Source organism: Homo sapiens, chromosome 8 (genome assembly GCF_000001405.40).
Source record: "Homo sapiens chromosome 8, GRCh38.p14 Primary Assembly".
NCBI classification, from domain to species: domain Eukaryota; kingdom Metazoa; phylum Chordata; class Mammalia; order Primates; family Hominidae; genus Homo; species Homo sapiens.
The window spans coordinates 96,793,944-96,810,285 of NC_000008.11; the positions used below are offsets into that span (position 1 = coordinate 96,793,944).

The following is a 16,342-nucleotide window of genomic DNA, read 5'->3' on the forward strand; positions in this document are numbered from 1 at the left end:
TTGCCACGGTCTTGGGCAGCTCCATCCTTCCAGGCTGCTTTCATGGGCTGGTCTTGAGTGTCTGCAGTTTTTCCAGGTGCACGGTGCAAGCTGTTGGTGGATCTATCATTCTGGGGTCTTGAGGACAGTGGCCCTCTTCTCACAGCTCCACTACGTGGTGCCACAGTAGGGACTCTGTGTGGGGGCTCTGATCCTACTTTTCCCTTCTGCACTGCCCTAGGGGAGGTTCTCCATGAGAGCAATGCCCCTACAGCAAACTTCTACCTGGACATCCAGATGTTTCCATACATCCTCTGAAATCTAGGTGGAGGTTCCCAAACCCCAATTCTTGACTCCTGTGCACTGGCAGGCTCAACATCATGTGGAAGATGCCAAGGCGTGAGGCTTGTGCCCTCTGAAGCCGTGGTTCAGATTCTACATTGGCCCCTTTCAGCCACAACTAGAGCGACTGGAACGCAGGTCACCAATTCCCTAGATGGCACACAGTATGAGGATCCTGGGCCCAGCCCATGAAACCACTTTTTCCTCCTAGGCCTTCAGGCCTGTAATGGGAGGAGCTGCCTGAAGACCTCTGACATGCCCTGGAGACATTTTCCCCATTGTCTTGGGGATTAACATTCAGCTCCTCATTATTTATGCAAATTTCTTCAGCCAGCTTGGATTTCTCCTCAGAAAATGGGATTCTCTTTACTATCACATTGTCAGGCTGCAAATTTTCCGAACTTTTATGCTCTGCTTCCCTTATAAAACTGAATGCCTTTAACAGCACCCAAGTCACATCTTGAATGCTTTGCTGCTTAGAAATTTCTTCTGCCAGATACCCTAAATCATCTCTCTCAAGTTCAAAGTTCCACAAATTGCTAGGGTGGGGGTAAAATGCCACCACTCTCTTTGCTAAAACACAGCAAGAATCACCTTTGCTCCATTTCCCAACAAGTTCCTCATCTCCATCTGAGAACACCTCAGCCTGCACTTCATTGTCCATATTATTATGAGCATTTTGGTCAAAGCCATTTCAACAAGTCTCCAGGGAGTTCCACACTTTCCCACATTTTCCTGTCTTCTTCTGAGCCCTTCATACTATTCCAACCTCTGCCTGTTACCCAGTTCCAAAGTTGCTTCCACATTTTTGGGTATCTTTTCAGCAGCGCCCCAGTCTACTGGTACCAATTTACTGTATTAGTCCATTTTTGTGCTTCTGATGAAGACATACCCAAAACTGGGCAATTTACAAAAGAAAGAGATTTACTAGACTTACAGTTCCACATGGCTGGGGAAGTCTCACAATCATGGTGGAAGGTGAAAGGCATTTCTCACACGGTGGCAGACAAGAGAAGAGAACTTGTGCAGGAAATTCCCCCTTTTAAAACGATGAGATCTTGTGAGACTTTTTCACTACCACCAGAAGAGCACAGGAAGCCCTGCCCCCATGATTCAATTACCTCTCACCAGATCCCTCCCACAACACATGGAAATTCAAGATGAAATTTGGGTGGGGACACAGCCAAACCATATAATCACCTATGATATTTTCCTCTAGAGAGTCATTGCTATCATTTCTATTTTTCCTTTTGATATTTCTATATGCATATGTATTTTATTTTATAAACTTGTGTTCACACTGCATATAGTTTGTGTCCTTTTATCTTATATATCATGAACATTTACCACATACTAGTAAATATCTTTTTAAATAAGTTTTAATGGCTACCAAATTTAAATATGCAATAATTAATATAATGCCTTGTTATTGGAAACTAGATTATTTTCTTATTTTTTTCTCTTCTTTTAAATAGCATGGGTATAAAATCTTTTAATGTAGAAAGAAGTATAGACTTTTAAAGGAAATTTTATGTTTTTAATAAATGACATATAAAGGAGGAATCATTGGTATATTCTAGGAAGTTGTAGGAGAGTAGAAACAATTAGTTTTGAAACTGCTTGTATAGATGTAAAAAATGCCAATAAAGTTCTTAGAAGCTGTTTTATTTTTTAGTGGTTTTAGTTGTTTAAAAATGTTAACACAATAGATATGTAAACATTATATATAATGTACATTTTAATGATACAACGTAAATATATATTTTAATTACTTTAAATTATTAATGTACATATTGATACATTTATATTCTTGATATATTTTGTTAAATTGTTTTCCAGATTGTACACACCTATTCTCTTATTAGCAGTGTATCTTCAAAACCCTGCACCTTCACCTGCATGGGTATTTTTTCCTAATCTTTGCCAATTTGATGAACCAAAAGTGATATTTCCCTATTATTTTACTTTGCATACCTTTGCTTATTGTTCAAGTTAATATTTTCATATGTTTACTGGAAGCATATTTTTCTTCTTTAAATTATTTGAGCATATCTCTTGCCTATTTTTCTACTGGTGCTTTAATGATATTCTAATTGATGAATAATAATTCATTATTAATGAATTATTTTAATAAATCAATTGTAATTGATTGTCCTATTTTATTCAAATTGAGTGTTTTAAAAGATATTAAGATGGTTTGCATTGATATATCACCTTCTTTTTCATTTTTTCTTAAAAGCATATTTCTTTCTGTATTTTGAGGATGACTTAGAATGTAGTTAATAGACTGCAAAATAGCAAAGTTGACTAATTTCCACTCCCTCTCCCCTATCAAAGTGCTCTAAGGAACAGTTCTTTAGGTTAGCTTACACATACTTTGGAACATCAGTGTCATTATTCGAAGATTGGTGAATGCCATGCTTTTGAATATGTACCAGCAAACTTAAGGTCTCAGTGTAGCTAGACTTGGATTTTTGAGCTGTGTATATGGATTGGTACTTCTGCTGGTTTATGTCAAACTGTGTGTACCTTATGACTTTTCCTTTTGGGAATAATATAGGAGTGAGAGGAAGGACAGGTAAAGAGCACTAGATTGAGCTCAATGTGCAGAGTTGACTGGATAGTTAATGTTGAGCTGTGGAGATTAGCATCTCCTCTAACTGGTTTAACCAGCTATGAATATCTTACAGGATTTTAAATGGTTTACAGAATCACTGGGTAAGCTAATGATGCAGATTTTAAATTGAGCTTCTCAGGAATGAATTTGAGAATAATTCTGTAGAACCAGGCTACCATGATTCCTGTTGCCTTTCCTAGATTAAGCAATGGCCTTTGTCAGAAAACTGCCACAGAAAATCTAGAGATTTTCACAATGGTGCTTGTCTCTGAAACAGCAGAAAACAGTCTCTGTCTAATTCCTGCTTTCCAGATCTTGTTCAAGTGCAAAAAATTGGTGACACTTAAATTACTTCTAGAACCCTAACTGTAGAAAATCCCAGGAATGTAGTTCTTAGGTGTTCAGTCTTTGTGACTCAGAAAAGCACATTTGAAGGACCTTGAATGGATGTTGAATGCCAACTCTCCATATCTAACACAATACTCCTTTCATTATGTCCCTTAATCAACAATATGATATGGACTTTTTTGCATAAATAAACAAGAACAGATTGCCATTGGTTATATAGTACAAGTAACACTACCAATAGCATTGTGGTCCTCTGTGGTTATAGGATTAGAATGAATTTAATAGGACAAAAAGGAATATAGAGCATAATCATGAAAGGAGGTATCTCCAAGGGCATTCTGATGGATTGAAGGGAAATTGCTTTAGGCTGTTTGTCACATTTGCCATATAAGTTAAAGTAGGTTTGGCTGGGTGCGGTGGCTCACGCTTTTAATCTCAGTGCTTTGGGAGGCCGAGGCAGATGGATCACCTGAGGTTAGGAGTTTGAGACCAGCCCGAGCAACGTAGTGAAACTCCCTCACTACTAAAAACTACAAAAATTGCCAGGTGCGGTGGCTCACACCTGTAATCCCAGCACTTTGGGAGGCCGAGGCAGGTGGATCACGAGGTCAGGAGATCAAGACCATCCTGGCTAGTGTGGTGAAACCCAGTCTCTACTAAAAATACAAAAAATTAGCCAGGCGTTGTGGCAGGTGCCTGTAGTCCCAGCTACTCAGGAGGCTAAGGCAGGAGAATTGCTTGAACCTGGGAGGTGGAGTTTGCAGTGAGCCTAGATTGTGCCACTGCACTCCAGCCTGGGCGGCAGAGCAAGACTCCATCTCAAAAAAAAAAAAAGTTAAAGTAGGTTCTCCTTCATTTTTTATACCCTTTCCCTTTATCTGTTTTGTATGCTTCTCTTTCCTAGGCCATATATATATATATTTCTGGTCTTACTCTGTTGCCCAGGCTGGAGTGCAGCAGCACAATCATGGTTCACTGCAGCCTGAGCCTCCCAGGCTCAAGCAGTCCTCCCATCTCCATCTCTCAAGTACCTGGGCCCACAGGTGCATGCCACCACACCTGGCTAATTTTTCGATTTTTTTTAATAAAGATGAGGTCTTACTATGTTGCCCAGGCTGGTCTTGAACTCGAACTCCCAGCTCAAGTGATCTTCCTGACTTGGCCTCTCAAAGTGCTGGGATTACAAGCATAAGCCACCATGCCCAGCCCCTAGACCTCATCTTAAAGACTGGCATTTCAAAGGTTTCTATCTTTTGTTTATAAACATTCTCCTTAAGTGATATGATGCAGTTCCATGGCCGTAAGTACCACCTTGTGCTTCAGCCACATGGGGTCTATTTGCCTTTCCCTCAACATGTGAGTACCCCTTGCCTTAAAAGCTGCTTCTTGGACCTCTGTCTAACCTAACCCTAACCCTGACCTTAACCCAACTCAACCCCTCTCTGCTTGGAGAATTTATACTAGTTTTTAAAGACTCATTTTTTTCTTTGAAGTCTTTCTGGAACCCCAACCTAAATAAATTTAATTGTTCTTTCATCTCTACTTTTGTAGCACTGTCTGTTTTATACAATGGTCAGATTTTATTGTAGTTGAGTGTTCACATGGTTATCTCCTCTGAAAAACTGACCTTCTCCATGGTAAAAGCCACACCTTATTTATCTTTCCATCTCCTGTAGCACTAGGCCCAGGGCCTGGTATGTCATAGATACATATTAGATATCTGCATGTTAAATCATGAGTGGATTGTGAAAGGTCACAAATTTAAAAAGGATATTTGAAAACTCATTCATACTAAAACAAGCTTCATTTTAGCACTGTGTGATTCTCATAGGTCTTTTGTGTCCATGTCATATCCAAATAACAAGAAATTTTGGTTGGCATCTCAGTGAAAGCAGATGAGAAAGAGAAGGATAAATAAACATCAATCAAATGGTGATTAGGTTGTTCACCATGGCCTATTCTTTCTGGAAACTTAAGCAGCACAGATAAAGTCTGGGAAGCTACAGCCTAAACTTATTTCCAAACTCTTGTCTCATAGGAACCTAAAATAGCCTTCCTGCATACTTCAAGCACATCTAGCAAAAGAAGGCTTTCTATAGCCAATAAGTTCAGTCCATTTGTTAGTGAGATGCTAATTTACCTGCAAAGTCCCATCATCAGATAAGTAATTATTTGCACATGACCTCATCTCCTCTTTTGATCTCATCAAGGAAACAGCATTTTCAGTATTTTTTTTTTAGGGCTTAATCTTTGTCTGATATCTAATTGCAGAATGAGCAGAAGTGCTCTAGACAGCCTGTATCCACAGATGATACTTTAAAATTGGCGGTATGGGATCAGTTGACGGATCTGACTACAAAGTGTCAGAGGTTGCAAATTCCTTCTCTCTGTATCAAATTAGGGATGGAAATGAGGAAGTAGGGGGCCAAGGAATTTACATTGATCAAGTGTTTATCATATTCTAGTCTAGTCATTGTGCAGATTCTTTTATGTATTTTGTCTGTGACTATAGGGGTTGTTCCCACTTTACAAATGATAAGCTCTGGGAGGTTCATCATCTTGTCCAAGGTCACACAGCTAATACATGGCAGGGTCTTGCCCCAACATCATGCCTTCCCAGTAGCCTTCCCTCTTCACCTTGCCTCATGGTAGATCTTTTTGCCCATATCTTTTAAGTATTTCCACTTCCCTCTTGACTGTTTCTGTAAGAATAAGCACACCTATCTCCTATGCACACAAACATGACCTAAGAAGCATAAATTAAAAGACAAAAATATTGCTGAATTTGATTGCGTCAGAACTTAGAATTTCTGTTCCGTGAAGGATACCATGAACAAAGCCATTAGAAGGCAAAATGAGAGAAGATATTAGCACTGTCTAAAATGTTAAGGAATAAATATGTGGGCCTAGAGAATACTGGAAATCAACATGAAGAAGGCAGTAGTCCTAATAGAAAAATGGGTAAAAGTTCTGAATTGGCAACTTAAAGAAGAGGAAGCCTAAAAGCTAGCAAGTATGTAAAGAAATGTTCAACTCATTAGTAATAAGTACAATGCAAATTTTAAAAACAATGAGATCACTTTGTAGCAGGGATGTATTAATAAAATGTGTTGGCAGGGCTGTGAAGACGTAGGCACCCTCATGCACTGATTGGTGGGTGTGAAGCATGGTGCTGCCATTCTGGAGAACAATCTCTAGCCAAATTAAATATATTTTCATATTCTATGACCCAGTAATTCACTTTTCTGGTATATTTCCCAGAGAAATTATTGTACAGACCCCTAAAGGTACATATTCAAGGATGATTATTATAGCAGTATTTATGGGGGCAAGATCTATGTGGGAGAGTGGACATATAAAATATGATGGATGGCCCCAGGGACTATGACAAAACAGTTGGAAGCAATAGACTAATGTATGTATTGCAACATGAATGGCTCTTATAAACATAAAGCTGGGCTTTAAAAAAGTAAAAAATAGAATGATATATAATACAATTGCATATGTATACATACAATTTTACATGCACACAGAATAATATTTTATATTTTGCAAGAAGATATACAATCAAAAAACATCTTAGAAGAGTTTTCTACTTAGGACATTGTGGGAGGGAGTGAGAAATGGGGATAAAAGAGAACAAATAGTTTTTTAAAAGCAAATAGGACAAAGAGACTTGCGATGAATAGGCTAATGATTTTGTACCATGAATTGAGGCACATAATTAACTGAACACTCTGAATTTGATTTTTTTTTTTTTTTTTGAGACAGGGTCTCACTCTGTCACCCTGGCTGGAGTGCAGTGGCATGATCTTGGCTCACTGCAACCTCTGACTCATGGGTTAAACCAATTCTCATGCCTCAGCCTCCCGAGTAGCTGGGATTACAGGCGTACACCACAACGCCCAGCTATTTTTTGTATTTTTTGGTAGAGATGGGGTTTTGCCATGTTGGCCAGGCTGGTCTCGAACTCCCGACATCAGGTGATCCACCCACCTTGACCTCCCAAAGTGCTGGGATTAAATGTGTGAGCCACCATGCTGGCCTGAATCTGATCTTAAAAACAAAAATCCACTCACCTGTGAGGCATGAGGTTAAGATAGATATATGGATAATTTATTACTTACTTCAAGCATAAAGGAGGCCACTTCTCTTTTACTCTTTCAATGCTTATCCAGTTCCCTTTTCACTCACTATTTTATGACATTCAATTAGATTTTTGCTTTTGATTTTATATAATGTAAATACAATGTAAATTATTCACTTTTTAAAAATATGTTTTTGGTTTTTATGTCATACATCTTTGCCATTGTTTTCTTCTTCATTTCTAAGCTTTTAAGGGCAGGGATGATATTTCTTTTCACTTGTTATTATATAGTCCCTAGCATGGTGATAATCCCAGTGTTCAATTTTATGAAAAATCTTCTAGGAGGAGGTTTTCCTTTTTAAATTCTAAAAGTGTGGATAATGTTCCTAGGAGAGTAGATGACTAAATAATGTAGGCTGATAGCATCAGGTATCCTTTTTAATAAACACCCCATTCCATCTTAACACCTCCTCTCTGCCTCCTCTCTGCCTTCTCTTTAGCAAATCTGTCTGCCTTTTTTCCTGATAGAAAGTATCATTGGTTAATAACTGTAGATTCTTGATAATTGTTATTGTGAATGAATTGCAAAATCGTGGTCAATAATTAATAGGTTATAATAAGTATTGAGCTTAATCAAGTAGAAGTAGTAAATTTAGATATTTCTTCTTGATAGTTATGATTCCATCTCTTTGTCTTTGTGTTTATTTTTTCAGCTTCTCTCTGTGTGTCTTTTTCTATATCTCTCTACTAATCACCTCTTTCTTTCTCTTTATCTCCCTCTCCCTTTCTTTCTCTTTGTCTCTTTCTTTATTTTTGACTGTGTCTCTTTGTTTTTATCTCTTTTTTTCCCCTCTCCTAGTTTCTGGTTCATGGCCTCACCAACAGTGTAGTCCAAGGCTGATGCATTTGCAGCTATGTCAGGTTAGTGCTCTAGAATTAATTAGAGCTTCTATCTTTTTTTTGAGTCTGTAAAAGCTTTCTTTGACAGGCTCATTGTAGTCTTGGAATTATAGTCACTTGAATCAAGCTGGTGAGTACATATTTTGTAGCTTCATAACAGTAAAGAAACATTTTGTGATGCATTTCACATTGAAAGTGGCTCCAAAAGAGTCAGTGCCATTTTGATGGCACTTGGGAAAATGCATCAGTAATATCATTTAGCTGAAGGCACTTTGATTTCTCCAGGAGAGCTGAATAGACCAAGGCCTTGTGAGACTCTTTACAGTCCTGATTTTCTTTTCCTTGAAAAATTTCATGGCAATTTCCAGGAAGTTTCAGAACTTTATGTCATCAAACTGAAACTTTTTTTCTTAGAAAAACATTAAGATTTTTCTTCTTTAGTAGTAGATGGCTTAAAGGTTTTAGGTCTGCTATTGGTAAATGCATTGGATGTTCAAAGCTTGATTGACTAAGTGGGTAATAAATAAACCACTGGGACCAGATGACATCAACCCAGTATTTTTGAAGAAAGTAGAAGGTAATATTGTCAAAACTTGGTTCAATTATTTTTAACCCTTGTTAGTTGGCACTGAACACAAGAACTATCAGATTTTTTTGAGCTTACCCTTCATAAGAATTATCCTACGAAGACTTAAGCAGTACATTTTGTTGGTGATTATTATCTCTTTATTTCATCCTTGTATTAATCAAGGTTCTCAAAAGAAACAGAAGCATACACACACACACACACACACACACACACACATGGCCTCTTTGGAGGCCAAGAAGTCTCATGATTTACCATCTACCAGATGGAGACCCAGGAAAGCCAGTGGTGTAGTTTGAAGGACTGAGAGCTGGAGAACCAATAGTATACATTCCAGTCTGGGTGTGAGGACCTGAGAACCAAAAAATGCTGAGGGCAGGACAAGATTGATGTCCCAGTTCAAATGATCAGGCAGAGTTATTCCAGCCTTCTTTTGCCTTTCTGCTCTATTCAGCCTCTTAATGGTTGGATGATGTTAACCCACATTGGGGAGGGCCATTTGCTTTATTCAGTCCACCAATTCAAATGCTGGATGGAATAAGAGAAAGACTGAAGACAGAGTCCAGATTTGAGGGATGAATGGTTTGATTTAATGGCTTCAGAAGTGGAGAAGCAAAAATGTTAAAGATCTATTAATACCTTTTGTATATGAGAGATGAAGGAATTGGAGGAATCAAAGATTATAAAGCTTTCAAGTTTGGATTGGTGAGAAAACCATAATGGTATTAGAGAGAAAAAGAAGAGGGTTGTGGAGGTAAGTTAGCTGAAGCCAGTAATGAGTTTGGTTTTCAATACACTGAACCTTTTGAGGTTGATTCCATAAAAGGTAGTCATGTCCTCATATGCAATGCTCCCAAGTGTCACAGAGTGATAACAATGGACCAGTGTAGTCACTGATCCCACCCATGTAGCATTTCTTATTTTCTTCAGTTAAATTCTACAAACTCATCAGTATCTCCTACTAATACTGCCACAACAGTGATCTCTGCTTAGTTATCTGTCAGGTCAACATACTGTGAGCCTGATTATGGCAAGGGCTGCCTGTAATCTGTCTCCCAAGTCCTGAAGATAGCACCTGCCACTTGGTAGGTGATCAGTAATTGGTTGTTGCATTGGCATCCACAGTGTGCCCAGGTCAAGGTGATGATGATACACAGATGAGTCAAATGAGGAGATAGCACTGGTGTAATGTGGGAACATGGAGAAGAGGAGGAGTGATAATTCTGTTTGGGGGTTGAACAAGCCTTCAAAGAGATGTGACATTGAAGGATAAAGGATTTACTGGGGCTAAGGAGGGAAAAAAGATATTTTTAGGACAGGAAACTAGAAGAGCAAAGGCATGCAGGTGTGAGAGTATAAGATGTGTTTGCTCAATGACTGGAGGAGCAAGTTCACAGAGAGGAGAAATAAGTGGATGGTGCTAGAACTGGAAACGTATGCAGGTGGACTATAGAAAACCTTGCTAAGGCTCTTATGTGCTCTCACACTTCTTAGGACAGAAATTATTTTTAGAGTGAGGAAAGAAGGGGAGGGAGGTTGTTAGATGGTAATTTAATCTGGTATCTTTTAGTAGAAGCACAGAGAACTGGGAATGAAGAGTTTTGAGTTTTAATTTTTGTTGCTAACTAATGTGATTAGGACAAAGTTATAAAAATTCTCTGAACTATCTAGGGTTAGTTTCTGTTATTTATAAATACTATTATTAGTAGTATAATTTTTATTTGATACAAGAATTCCTAAAAGTTTTTTTTTTCAGGAAAATATCTAGTTTTTTTAATTTTAAAAAATCTAATAAACCAAACAACAGTTCATACTCTTTTGGTCACATAGGCATCAATGAAATAATTTCTATTCTGACTGTCATGGAGAATCATTAGCCTGTTACCTGCTAATGTTCCCTTTGTCTTTTACACTGTGGTTTTTTGTAAACTATGTCAGTCTTACTATGATTCAAAGGACATTAAAGCAAATGGGGTGTTTAGTGACAAAAGTATTTACAAAAAGCTTTTTTTTTTTTAAGTTCACACTGCCGTATTGTACTCTCCTCAACCTTACTTTTAAGTACATTTTCTATACTTAATTTGGGAGAAATTACCATAAAACATTTAGTGCTTTGTTTTCTGATATGGTTTGGTTTTGTCCCTTAGTTCATGGAATTGAACATTTGCCTTCAGACTGTATTTATGTATTACTTTCATCTGAAGAACATTTATTAAGCACCTGTTTGTGGGCATTGCCAGTGATATAACTGGTCTGAACAAAAATATAGCTAATGATGTGCAAGCAGAAAGTGTAAGTTTCCTGCAGCCTTTTAAAATAATATTTTACTGATCATAAAAGCAATGTGCTTAGAATGTAATATATGTAGAACTTTGAAAAATAAAGAAAAGCACAATTAGGAAAATAAAATTCCATGAAATTCTACTGCCTGAAGATAAGAGCTGTGAATATTTTGGTCTGTTTGCATGCTCTGGTTTTTTTCCCTATGCATTTAAATATTTATGTACATTTACAATATCTTGTGAATGCTTCCCCTCTTTTAAATGAGAGTATAGTGTGATTGTTCAGGACTTGGCTTTCCTCATCCAATTAATAATGACAGTGTGACCTTTATCAACTTATTTCGCCTTTCAAAGGCTCTGTTTTATTTTCTGCAAAAAGGGAATAATACTAGTGTCTACTTCACAGGTTTGGAGTCAGGGCAAAATGAGATAATGCATTTACCGCACTCAGAGCCTGGCTCATTACAGGAGTTCTTTATTATTGGATATTGCAGTTATTTCATTTTTTTCATGTATGTAATGTTTGCTAAGCTATGCACAGTCAGTGCCATCAGTTTCCTTACCATTCAGTTGTTAATCACAGAGTTTGATTCCATTACAATAATAATCGCTGAGTCAGACTTTCACCCCACTGTAACTTGTCCCTAGTGGAAATTTTTCCATTAGTTTCTGAAACTTGGGACCTCTCTGTTGTTTCCCTCATGCAGATTTGGTCACACTAGATGACCTCATTTGGTTGTCGTGGGGTTTATTTCTGTAGTGATGATAGCCTCTTACATTCCCTCCACCATAGAACTTGGTAGGGATGAGAACTAGCTGGACGGGGCCAGTAACGGGGTTGCATATGACCTTCTGGGTGGTTCTAGAGTCTGGATCTGAGTCACTTCTGGCAATGGATCAGCCATAGGATTTCATAAGAGTGGCCATTAGAGCCCTTTTAAGCAGAATACTGAAGTCTGGGGATGGAACCAACCTAGGATTAAGAGTTGGGGAATCAGCTATCACCAGCATGAGGTGGGATGGAGAAGGGGATGAGGCTAGCACAACATTAGGGAATTTTGCTGCTGTTTTGGTGGGCAATATAGGTTTGGCTGTGTGTTTGTCTTCTTGTGTCTTGGTGACATCTTAGAGCCTCACACTACTCCCTTCCTCAACTTATTTATTTATTGGAAAATATAATAAAATTGAGATAATTTTTACCTTTAACATAAAAGTTCGGCTCTAAAAAATGTTTGGCAAAGCAGAAACTCTAAGTACTAATGAGGATATGAGTTGCTCCTACAGCCACTTTAGAGAGCTACTAAATGCAAATAAGCATGACCTGATTCTAGGCTCACACCCTAAAAAATCTCTCCCACAGTACTAAGACAGACTTGTACAAGCATATTTATAGCAGTGTTGTTTGTAAAAATATGAAATTATTATTAAGGAAGAGTAGTAAACCAGGTCAGATTTATACAAGGAAATACTAGAAAGCAGTTAAAATGGATGAACTGTAGTTACATATGTCAGCCTGAATTAAACAACGTTGAATTTAATAGGTGTGTTGAGAATTACAGGTACAGTATCATACAATTTAAATGATATTAAAGAACATGCAAATGATACTGTATTTATGCATTTATGTATAGTGAAAGTATAAATGCATTCATTCACATGTTGAATACTGTATTTAGATAACAAGTGCTATGTCTAGAGAAGGAAGAGAATGAGATGGGGGAGATAAAGCATCAGAGATTTGTATTCTATGGATATGTATTTAAGTTAAAAAATGACAGCAAAAACAAATATTTGAGGGGGTGGATACCACGTTTTCCATGATGTGATTATTATACATTGCATGCCTATATCAAATATCTCATGTACCCTATAAATGTATATACCTATTATGTACCCACAAAAATTAAAAGTAAAAAATTTAAAAGGACAAAATATTAAGTTTTAAGGAGACTGAAGTATGTTTTATATTCTCTATTTGTTATCTGATTAACGTATTTCACCATTTTCTTAAATGGGGAAATAAGGACAGAGGAAATTAACATATAACCACAACAAATTCTAGCAGTGCAAGGGAAAGTAAGCCTTTATCACACTGCTGATCCCTGATCCCTTGTTCCTGTGGCCAGAGAAAACTGCTGTTTTTTTTTTAATTTTTATTTTTTATTTTTTGAGACGGAGTCTCGCTCTGTCTCCCAGGCTGGAGTGCAGTGGTGCAATCTCCTCACTGCAAGCTCTGCCTCCCAGGTTCACGCCATTCTCCTGCCTCAGCCTCCTGAATAGCTGGGACTACAGGCACCCACCACCATGCCCGGCTGATTTTTTGTATTTTTAGTAGAGACGGGGTTTCACCGTGTTAGCCAGGATGGTCTCGATCTCCTGACCTCGTGATCCACCCGCCTGGACCTCCCAAAGTGCTGGGATTACAGGCTTGAGCCACCGCGCCCGGCTGAAAACTACTCTTAATAGTTACCCATGAATCCTCATGACAGCCGGTGATATAGAAGCATATTGTATGCACATTCCTTTTACACCTGCATGGTAAATGCTCTTTGCTCCTTTCACTACACTATGTATACCTTGGAGGTCATTTATCCTGCAATATCTGACCTTTTCTTCTAAAGAAACTTTTGCTTCATGAAGGTAAGTACAACTACAGTTTCTCTAAAGCTCAGTTTTGAAATCAGTGATATAAAATACATAGGGTCAGTTTTACATAGTAAGTTGTCAAGACAGATTGCACTCAGACTCAAACCAACCTTGAAAACAAAGTACTGTATATCTGTATTTACATTTGAAAGGCTCTTTTCCCACTTCAGTTTGTCAAACAGTTGAATATGTTAAGCTTGAGACTAGAGACAATGTCAGGGTGAACATATGTGAGGGATTCACACTTCTCAAAGAAAAGCACGCTTTTTGTGGCCTTGGACAAAGCTGGGATTCCGTGCTGTTGTTATTTTCACAAGTCCCTCTACTGAGATCATGACTGCATCTTAGAGTTGCTGTTGAATACAGATGATGTTAATTTTGTTCTCATTCATATTCTATTTAGTTTTTACCAAACTAAATGTTTATTAGTTGGTGATATTTAGGAAGTTTGATAGGATTGTGACTATATAGCTATATTTTATGAAAAATGGAGGAAAAGTTCCCTTTAAAATACCTAAATTTTTTTTGAGTTAAAGAAAGAAAAATAAAATTCATGAAATAGTGACGTGAAGCTTGGTAGTTTAGCTGCAGCTGCCAGGTGTCTAGGCTGGCTCTTGGGAGAGATTATTATGGGATCACAGTGAGCCTGGCTACACAGAGCATGGAAAGTCCCCTCGTCCTTGTCATCACAGAGTTTGGCTTACAGACCTCTCCTCTCAAAGATGGAGGCTTCTGGTCTTTCTGATATTGTTTTCTCTTCCTGTCCCTCCTTATAGAGAGAAATCCAAAATATTTTTGCTAAAATTCTCTAGAGTTGAATTTGGGAACACCAGGGGATAAAACCCCTCATGTTAAGGCATGTAGGAGGAAAGGTATCCTCTTATCAATCGAATTGTAGTTCAAATATGCTGTAAACCCACCTGTTTACTCCTTCGTGGTGGCCGTAAGATGTGAAAAGGCAGGGGCTCCAGAAGTTCTAGGTAGGAGTCCTTTGTTCTTATGTTTTTCAAGGGTCTCATGGTGACCAACATTGTTAACTTCTTTTAGCCTCTGTTTCCTCACCCTCAAATGAGGTCAATAGTATCTACTTTCAGAAGTGATATTCAAAATATCTGATATGGGAGTGGGACTTGGCTGTTATCAGACAGATGGCATATGCATCCCGTAATGTTGTGCCTGGTGCTGTAAGGTTGTGCCTGGTGAATGTCAACTAGGACTGTTTTACAGGGTTGCTATAAGGGTAAGATAAGATCATGCACATGAATGTGCTTTGAAAACTGCAAGGGGATACATAAATTTGTACTATTAATGCAAAATACATGCAATGGGCAGGAAGTTTGAGAAGTGCTTTGAGCTGTTTGACCAGAAGATTCTTTAATGAGAATAAGGAATTATTGCCCTGTGATGTCAATGTATTTAAATATATGCTTATTATACATATATTGAACTATATATATAATATACATATATTACACATATATTGAACTCAGCAATTGAATGCTTAGGTATTTACCTAAGAAAAATGAAAACACAATTCTACTCAAAGGCTTATAGGTGAATATTCACCGTAGTTTTATTCATCATAGCTAAAAACTGGCAACAATTTCTTATGTTGATCACCTGCTGAATGAGTAAACATGCTGTGATGCCTCCATACAATGGAACACTACCCAGCAATAAAATGGAACACATGCCTGATGGACACAGTAATGTAGACAAGTCTCAAGTGCATTATGCTAACTGAAAGAAGACAGACACAAAACATTACGCACCATATGATTCTATTTCTATGAAATTCTATCAAAGGCAAAACTTTAGCAACAGAAATCAGATAGTGGTTTTCAGGGGCCGGGGTCAGGGGAGAGATTGGCTGTAAGAGGTATGAGGAAACTTTCTGAAGTAATGGAAATATTCTATCTCTTGATTGTGGTGGTGGTTACATGATTCTATATGTATTTGTCAAAATCTATGGAATTGTATACTGAAAAATTGATCAATTTCATTATACATAAATTATACTTCAAAAAAATGGAACTGGGTAAAAATAGTTCCCTCATGAAAAAAATAGAAAATGCAATGTTGAAAGAGAAAGGAGGAACATTCTTTACAAAACAAAATGTTTCTTCTTTATAGGCTATATATTTCAGTTTCAGCTTCGAGTAATGAATTTTATGGCTTCGTCTCTTGCATTGAGCATTACACTCTAGTGAACACCCAACTTGCTAAGTCGTCCCCCATACACACCTTACTGTTTCTCTCTTTGTTATCATTTCCTTATGCTGAGCACTTGCCTGGAGTAGCTCCCTCCCCCAGCCTTCCCTGGGGCTCTCATTTCCTCCCTCACTCATTTGGTTAACTCTTATTTACCATTGAAGATTCAGTTTGGAATTCACCTTCTCCAAGAGCCTTCCCCTGGTTTCTCCCCATCCCTTTCACATTGGGGCTCATTTGGGTATCCCTGGCCATTAGCTTTGTCAGTATACTCACCAGATTTCACTATAAGTAGCTCTTTATGGGTTTGTCTTCCCCAAAAGAGGTTAAGGACTATATCTTAC

At 37.9% G+C, this 16,342-nt stretch overlaps 1 protein-coding gene across 1 annotated transcript in view; it reads left to right on the top strand.

The window, feature by feature from the left end:
* CPQ (carboxypeptidase Q) overlaps positions 1-16,342 on the top strand; it is a 498,260-nt gene that overhangs the window by 148,702 nt on the left and 333,216 nt on the right. The gene's annotated exons all lie outside the window — the stretch shown is intronic.